The sequence below is a fragment of the Homo sapiens genome, chromosome 12 (assembly GCF_000001405.40).
Source record: "Homo sapiens chromosome 12, GRCh38.p14 Primary Assembly".
Lineage (NCBI taxonomy): Eukaryota > Metazoa > Chordata > Mammalia > Primates > Hominidae > Homo > Homo sapiens.
This window is the reverse complement of record NC_000012.12, coordinates 23,182,861-23,192,145: the sequence shown is the minus strand read 5'-3', so window position 1 is coordinate 23,192,145 and position 9,285 is coordinate 23,182,861. Positions and strand designations below refer to the sequence as shown.

The following is a 9,285-nucleotide window of genomic DNA, read 5'->3' as shown; positions in this document are numbered from 1 at the left end:
GTATATCAATATACTGTCAGTCCACATCCTTAGATTCAACCAACCATGGATTAAAAACATTAGGAAAAAAATTAAAAATTATAAAATATGAATACAACAATAAAAAAGACAAACAAAAAGACAGTGTAGCAACTATTTACATTGCATTTTCATTGGATTTGGTATTACAGTAACCTAGAGATTACATAAAGTATACAGGAGGATGTGCATAGGTTATATGCAAATACTATGCCCTTTTATATCAGGGACTTAAGCATCCCTGGATTTTGATATCTGCAGGGCTCCTGGAACCAATCCCCACAGATATGAAGAGATGACTATATTTAGTATATTTCCTGGGACAGACTTTCCTAAAAAAATTATCCATTGTTTATCTGGAATTCAAATTTAACTGGGCATTTTGCAATTTATCTGGAAACCTTATAAGGAATTTAATTTTTTGGTGCCTCCATTTTCTCACCTATAACATATAAGGCTAAGAAAAGATAAAATAATAACTATGATTGAGATTTGCTGTAAAAATTAAATGAGATAATGTGTGTTAAGTGCATAGGAAATGCTCAATATGTATTCATTGTTGTTATTTTTATACTGTACAGGGATTATGATAAGCTGGTAAAGTATGAGGTAATCTTTCAGCACTGATGCTTTCAACAACATTTTTAAAAGCTTTACCATTGGAAACGAGGTACGTTCCATCCCATATATCTTCATGCATCTGAAAAAATAGAAATATAAATACAACTTGATTTTTCTATCTGCTTTTCTTTAGGAGAAACTGGGTAAATAGCTCTTATTTCCCAACATAATTTTCATATTTTCTCCTAACTCTTTTGCCCATAAGCTACCTGCCAAGCTAACTTTATAACGAAGAAGAGGTTCCAGGCACTGAGGCCTTTATCATTAAAGATAAAGTGGAAGCAACATGAGGTAGTGCTCATTAATCTTTCCTTATTTCCTTGGGAAGAATTTGGCAAAAACAGATTCTACAAACTCAGCCAGCCATCTTTGAAGGCTATTTGCCCTGGGCCAATTATATATTACACGATAAGCATACCCAATAATTAACTAATGAACTGGTTTATTTGGGAAACGATCAGAAGTGTCAGGGATTGAAGAACATTTAGATTGCCTCTATGAGTTATGCTGAAGCAACATCTGCTTGTTTTTTCTTCAATCAACGTGCACCCTGTAGGGTCCCAAATTCAAAAATGATTACATTTCATGTCATTTATGTGCCTTACAGTTTGACAAATTTAACTTGTAAGAATAAGTGATTCCATGTTCAATTTACGTTGATCCCATTTTCATCCAAACATCCAAAGAGAGAGAACCATTATAGATTGATAAAAGCTGCTGATTGATCTATTGATTTCCAGACCTTAAATCTCCTAGGGAAGTCTTTGTAAAGTTCGTGTTCATAAAATTCTTGTTCTGCCACAAAAGCTTCCAGTGGATTGTGTTTCTCAACTACAAGGAAAATCATCAGGGACAAACCCAGAAAATGTTTCTTTAGTATACACTAGGCAGGAGGGCCTTCCAAATTCAGTCTCAATCTGGTTTCTTCAAAGGTTTATTTTTATTTCATTTTTGAAAACTTTTAATTTGAAGAGGGGGGAAAAAGCCCTTTAAAGCATAACAACCCGCAGTGATGTAAGTGCCTTTCTGTCTCATATATAATCATGTCTGTTTGGACGTGCTGGGTGTCATGTCCAGGGCTATGGTGCCACATTGAGAACAATATTGAACTAAATAGTTTTGACAGAACAGCCAGACCTTTTCTTGGGGCTCCTGCTATATTGCATATCTGCTTCTTTGTACACAACAGGGTGGGCGACTGATGGAAAGCAGAGAGTTCAATTGTGGTTAGAGTCTGCAAAAGAACCATCAATGGAAACTCTTTACTGATTTGCACTATCGCCTGGGAGACAGAGTACAGATGACTGTATTTTCCAGGTTATCAGCTATAGGAAAAAGCAAAATCAGTTTTCTGAAATATGTACTCTGCTACAATAAATGTTGTGAGTTCTATGCATGCAGATAAATGTCAGCCTACGTGGGTAGGCTGAAAGAACTTTGTTAACCTCAGCTCCTCTTTTCCATTGCTTTATGGAGAGTAGTTTATGGGTATTGGGTTGCGTGAGTGAACTCAAGGTGGGTTTGTCTCTAGGCAGAGAGTTGTGCATATTTATTGGCAAGGACTTTGTCTTTCTGATTGTATGATTTACTGGGATAATTTATTGAGATTTTAACTCAATAATATTAAGCGTTAGTGCCACCCTCCCAGACCCCTGCTTCCATCCCAGAGGGTAGCTCAGCTTGTAATTCTGCGTGTCCCACGGTAGACCTGAGAGGCTTTGCTGTTTTCAGAGGTGAGTTGACCAAAATAATGGAGGGACACAGAGAATGGAAAGGTAAAATCTACCAAAACTGGTTGATATTTTCCAGAAGGAAAAAAAAAAAAAGAGGATGCATTCTAGGGCCTTCATGAGTGATGGAAAGATCTGTATCAGGCTCCCAAGCAGAACTGAGACAGATACACATTTGATGGTTCGGTAGGTGGATGCTGACAGGACCTCTCTCTGAGAACAGTGTTCACTGAGCTTCAGTGAAGGATCACGGTGCCTGTGCTTGGCACAAAGGGAATGGGAATTGAGAACTGCTATCTCCTATGTATACCTAGTCTCCAAGGCTTTGCCTGGCTTCTCTGGTCTGGGTTGTTACTGCTCCTTCTATTTAACCTGTGTTCCTTTCTGCCTTTGGAATTTGGGACCATATTCTCTTCCAGGTAGGCTTTTCAGCTCCTGTCAGTACACTCTTTCAGGAACAACTAGGTACTGTACAAATTTCTCAAGCAAGGTAACTGGTCCTTTACTATTTATATGCCTTTTTAAAACTGCAAAAGGGTTTTAACAATTATTACTCCTCTTTTCTCTCTATTTAAATAGAACGTTTGACATAGAAGGAACCGCCAAGCTTACCTTGTATTGGCCATGCGAGTTCACTCAATGACCACATGTGCTTACTGAATTACTACAACAGGCTGAAGACTGAATCCCATTCCACTGATAGTAGCATTTATCTTTCTCCAAAGGTTATTCTGATTTTGTCACCTTTCTCAGGACTCATTGTCACTAGAAAAATTGGAATCTCTCTATTCTGTGTTTCAGGTCTTCCTAACATCCATAGTGGCTAAAAACTTCTAATTTGGAGGTTGCAAGTTGGCAGATCATGGCTAAGTTCAGTCAGTAGCTATTTTTTATCTGGCATGGTTGTTATTGAAATTTGAATAGCATTTAAATTTTTTTAAACCAGAAGATTTTTAATAAAAATCTTGATTTTTCTTTTGGAGAAAAAAATCAGATAATGTGGCATCATTAGGCACACATGCCCACTGGATCCATCTTCCAGAGCTGGATGATGAACGTGACCTGAGCTGAACGTACTACACATCTTTCCGCTCCCTTGCCTCCCTGCCCAGGTCTACTTCTCTTTTTAGCATTTGTTGCATGGCCCTTGTAGGCATACTTGTTTACAATCTCCTTAAACTAAACCAAAACAAATGGGTAAATTGGAATCAGGGGTAAAGTTCAAGGGCAGCAAAAAATCAAACTTTCAAGCAAAGACCATGACAAGTTTAGATACTAGTTGGAGCTAAAAAACATGCATCATAATCTAAGCAGAAGAAGATGCAGCAATGGATAAATATACTAGTCTATTGCTAGGACATCAAATTGCCCTAAAATGTACTGACTAAAATTGACAACAATCAGTTTTTATCTCCCAATGTCTATGGGTCAAGAATATGAGAGTGGCTTGGCTGCTCAGTTCTGGCTTGGGGTGTCTCCTGAGGTTGCAGTCAGATGGTAGCAGGGGATGGCATCCTCTCATAGGGTCTGGAGCACAAGGAGATTCAATTCCCTGAGATGAGACAGTCAGGGCTCCTGGAACGTGAATCTCTGGCTCTATGCCATCTCTCCACATGGTCTCCCCAGCAGGGCCATCAGAAGCCATGTATCCTAAGGGAGAGACACAAACGGAAGAAGTTACTGTTGCCCTACCTTACGGGTTGGAGCAGACAGAAGCCCCCACTCAGATTTGGAGGGAACATGGCCCCCACCTCTTGGTGGGAGGGGCAGCAGTCACACTGTAAATAGAGCCTGTAGGACGAGAGTTGTATGCTAGCATGTCCGTCTTCGGAAAATGCAGTTTGCCACAAACAGAAATGAGAGATAGGGTCAGGAACTAAGAAATTCTGAATGATGTAAAAGCAAATAAAAATTTTGGTTTCCTGAGAAGAACAAGAATAGAAGATAATGTCTGGAGACTGGAATATCTGCTTGCATGTGTTGGCTTTGTTGTCCACTTGACCATAGCCCAAAGGTTAACTTGGGCATACTCAGGCCACTTAGCATCACCAGGTTCTGAAACTTTCACCTGCCCACCCTGGACAGTTTCATTTGCTATTACCTAGTTTTCCACTTCAACTAAACAAGTGGCCTTACTGTCTCTTGTGCATAGCTGGTCTTGAAGGTTCTGCCTGGCTCCTCTGATCTGGGCTGCTCTTGCTCCTTTTATTCCATCTATGCTCCTTTCTGCCTTCAGACTTTGGGACACATCGTCCTTTAGGCAGCCTTTTCAGCTTCTGTTGGAACGCTCCTTTAGGGACCACCACATACTGTACAGACTTCTTAAGCACAGTAACAGGCCTTTTCCTATTTATATGCCTTTTTTAAACTGTGAAAAGGTTTTAACAATTATTATTCCTCTTGCCTCTCTATTTAAATAGAGTTTCTGATACAGAAGGAACCTCTATTTTCTCCTTTTGAGTGGGGAAACAGAAGCCAAGATAGGTAAGGAGCCTGTCCAGGCTTCCATAGCTAGAAGCTGGAGGAGAGGGTCACAGCCTGCACCTCCTGACTTGTGGTTTGGAGCTCTTTCTGTTCCCTAGGGGTCAACATGGGTGAGTAGCCTAAAGGCCTGTACAAGGCTGGTCAATAAACAAGAAGCACTGTGTATTTGGCTGGCACACAGTGTTTTGTTTTGTTTTGTTTTTAAGTAAGTAGGGCACACACTTGACAGTTATCTGCAGACTCCACTAATCTACCACCAAATCCCTTCTCATATTTCACTACCTGTGTGGCCTCTGAAGGCATTTGAAGGCATCCCCCCTCCCCATCCCCTTTACATCTTCCTAAAGGGAATAATTTTACTCAATAGAAATAGATGGCTCTTGTTGATCCTCTACATGCTCTGTACAAACTTTTATATGTACTAACATATTTATATGTACTAACAACTTATATGTACTAACTCACTTAATACTCACAACATCTCTACTTTTATCCCCATTCTAAAGATGAGTAAACCGAGACACAGAGTGGTTAAGTAATTTGTCTACATTCTAACATGTGGTAAAGACTGAGAGCTGGAATTTGATTCCAAGCACCTTTACAACAGAGCTCATAATGTCAACCACTCTGCTGAAGAAAGTCTAGATAGACAAAATGCGGTAATAATAAATTTGGGTGGATCTAATTTGCTAGAGTAGTCATTATATTTTCAAATTTATAAAATCTATCTATAGGTTTATATTTGAAAGAGCAGGATAGTAGAGCATTCATGTCCTAATGTAGCTCATTTTCAACATGAAATATTGTCCATGTGTCGTGAAAGGTGAATTTCACTACTTTAAAAATGCCAGCCATCTGGGTCTGATATTTCATGCTAAAACTCAAAACTTTAAGCATTTTTAACCAAGTCACCATCTTAATCTTTATTTTAGTCTCCAAATGTTTTTGTGGCGAGTGTAAAGATGAATGGAATTCAAAAGTGGCCATTAAGACTACTACTGCATGATGGAAACTACAGCCTACTATATAAATCTAAATCCCTCCATAAATTTAAGAAAAGATTTACTGTTCAAAAATAAAAATATAAATCATTCTCATTTTCTAAATCATTGCTGCTGATGATCGTACCCAGCATGGTGAGAGATCACTATATTATTCTGGATGTAGTACTATGTTTAAATTTACCAAGGAGTCTCAACTGCCCACGGGATTTACTACTTCATGTACTTGCCAAGATAGAAGGTATTTCTGCATAATTCCTGCAGCTGAACATTATTGATGCTCTAAATGCATGGAACATTTAATATGTGTAGCACGTCCAGCAAGATCAGTTATTGAAATGAATTATAATTTTTATACCGAACCATTGAAGGCCCAATTAGAAAATTGATCACTTTTGAGGAAACTGTCTCCTTAATCTTTCTTATTTACAGTACAGGATTCAGCAGCAGGAGAAATTCACAGTAGGGTCAGATTGTGGTGGGTCTTGAAAGCCAGACTAAAAGCATTTGAACCCTTACAGATAACAGGGATCATTTAAGGCGTTTTGAACAAAGTGAGTGAAGTGATCAAAGAAATGTTTGGGGAAGGTTAATCTGGCAGTGATGTGTAGAATGTTCTCCATCATGTGGTGACAAGAAAATGGACGTGTGGACAGAAAACTGTGAATTAACTCATGTCAGCGTCTGAAGAACATACCAAGTTTAGCAGTTACCAATCCAGACTAGCCCCAGGTCCATGCTCTGATCACCTTTGAGTCATAAGCTTTGGAACTCCAAGCCGTTACTGACTGATGGAATTTGTAGACTTCTTTGGAGGCCTGGGGAGAAAGAAGGGGAAGGAAACCATGATATGGTCAGAGGCACACCTGTGGGTTACAGGAATTGGCATGAAGGAGGACTAGTGAGGCAGTGTAAGTCTGACTTCATTGATGACCTTTTTTCTGGATCCTTGGACTATTCTCATTTCCTGTTTCCCTGAGTTGCTCTAATTTTTTCTAGTTTCAACCCTTTTTCTGTACCCTCTGCGGCAGATGCCCAGCCCTCTGGGAAGTTTTGATAGCTTTATACACTGGTACAGCCTGGGCAGGTGTCTATTCTACCTATTGCTGACTGTGTAGGCAGGCATTTCTCAAAATAATCCACTACTTATATCTCAAGACATAAGATAAGCCATTTTCCGCAATGTCATAATGCACAATAGTGGACAAATCACTAATTCAAAACATTTTCCTAGCAAGTTTGGATAATAATATTTCCTTATTATTTGCTGTAATATTAATTATTATTACTATTCTTATTATTTGAGTAATAATTTTCTATTGTTTCAGAAAATTCAATAGAACATGGAAATGATTCCACATTAAAAATTCCATGATTTTGGCCGGGGGTGGTCACTCACGCCTGTAATCCCAGCACTTTGGGAGGCTGAGATGGGACGATCTCAAGGTCAGGAGATCGAGACCAGCCTGGCTAACACGGTGAAACCCCGTCTCTACTAAAAAATACAAAAAATTAGCCATGCGTGGTGGTGGATGCCTGTAATCCCAGCTACTCGAGAGGCTGAGGCAGGAGAATGCCATGAACCCGGGAGGTGGAGCTTGCAGTGAGCCGAGATCATGCTACTGCACTCCAGCCTGGGTGACAGAGCGAGACTCCGTCTCAAAAAAAAAAAAAAAAAAAAAAAAAAATCCATGATTTTATTCCTTATTGTATAGCATGGAGATGTTTCTGTCTATCTGTCTAAAATCAGGGGTGAGGAAGCTTTTTTTTTTTTTTTTTTTTTTGTAGAGATAAGAGGTCTCACTATGTTGACCTGGCTGCTTTCCAACTCCTGGCCTCAAGTGATCCTCCGGCCTCAACCTCCCAAAGGGCTGGGCTTCTAGGCATGAACCACTGAGCCTAGCCTGGGGTGAGAAAACTTTTGGCCTCAGGACAGTCCCACCTTGAGATTTCGACTGTACCCCAGCTCTGCATGGCCTACATACAGACTTGAATAACCTGGCTACAAAATAAACAGGCTGGGCAGCTGAGATCTCAGACTAACATGTCTCTCTCTCTCTCTCTCTTCACTTTGCTTTCTCTGAACTTCCCCTCCTTGTTTACTCATTTAACAAATGAATTGTTAAATAACATTGAGCATCTATGGTATACCAGGTATTGCACCATGTGTTTGGAACACAGCAGTGAAAAAGGCAGCAAAATCCCTGCCTTATTGAGCTCGTAATCCAGAGGGGGTGGCAGATATTGAACAGATAAACAGCTGGATACAGAATTAGAAATTATGACAAGTGCCTTGAAAGATAACAAAGGGGATGGGTAAGAGAGATATCCAAGGTATACCTACTTGAGATCAATTGGTCAGAGAAAACCTCTCTGAAGAAGTAGGTTTACACTGGAACCCCCAAAATTAATGAAAACTAGTTGGGTAAGAGGTTGAGGGGGAAAGACTTTACTGACAGAGGGAATAGAAGGTGCAAAGAACCTGAGGAGGGAAAGAGATGCTGCTAAGTGCAAATAACTCAGTGACTGGCTCTCTCTCTCACCCTTCATTATTTCTATTTTCCCTTATTACCTAAATATTACATTTTTTCTATCTAGTTTCTTTGTTACTGATATTTCCCCATAAATTAAGGATTGTATAAAACACAAACATTTTTAGGGAACTGGGGTCAGATCCAACTTGTGTTTGCTATTTAGAAGCTAGGCAACACTTCTTGGAGGTCATCTGTATGATATAGGGCCAATGAAGGAGAGGGTAATCCTGTGATTGCAAGTTTATTTCAGAACCTCACAGGAAAAGAACCCATTCATTCATGAACACAGAGATCTACTGATACATTTGATGAACAGAGAGTCTCCATAGAAGCCGTGTTGCAAAGAGATCAATGGAAACAAAAGGAGAGAGAGATGAACTGGACACTGAAATGCAGAACCTGAATACTAGAGACAATTGTTGTTTATGTAAAGTATTAATCTCTATGAGAAATTGCTTTAAATCAGTGTCTGCAATGCCTCATTGCCCTGGGAATACAGAGTCCGTTTCAGAAATTGCTAGTTTCCTACCCTCTCTGTCTGCCTTTGTATAAAACCCCAATTTTGCTTGGAGTGGTCTTGTACAAGACTAAATTTCCCAGCTTCTTTTGCAGCTGGATGTGACAATGTGACTAAATTCTGGCCAAATGGAAATGTTACACAAACTTTCCTGAATAATCCTTCAGGAAATTGACTTAGCCAGGGAGCCTGTCTCTTTTGCCCTTTCCTCAGCTTCTTTCTTGCTGCCTGGAATGTAGCTATGATAGCTGGAGTTCTAGCAGTTATGTTAGGTCATGAGGTGACTTTGGAATAAAAATTCCATGTCAAGAAAGTGGAATAGAAGGAAGAAGCTTTGAGCCAGATAATAAAACCTCTATAGTACACCTTTGCTACCTATT

General features: G+C 39.6%; 1 long non-coding RNA gene across 6 annotated transcripts in view; it reads right to left on the bottom strand.

The window, feature by feature from the left end:
- Nucleotides 1-558: 558 nt before the first annotated feature.
- Nucleotides 559-9,285, bottom strand: part of LINC02955 (long intergenic non-protein coding RNA 2955) — a 491,729-nt gene continuing 483,002 nt past the window's right edge. For 4 of the 6 annotated variants that reach the window (NR_187514.1, NR_187512.1, NR_187515.1 and 1 more), the window contains 2 exons: nt 6,552-6,672; nt 1,065-4,019 (listed from right to left, as the gene is read on the bottom strand). This is a non-coding gene — a long non-coding RNA (long intergenic non-protein coding RNA 2955). Of the gene's footprint in view, nt 719-1,064; nt 4,020-6,551; nt 6,673-9,285 lie in introns of those variants that run through there. The other 2 variants (NR_120471.2, NR_187513.1) reach the window with 2 other exon arrangements.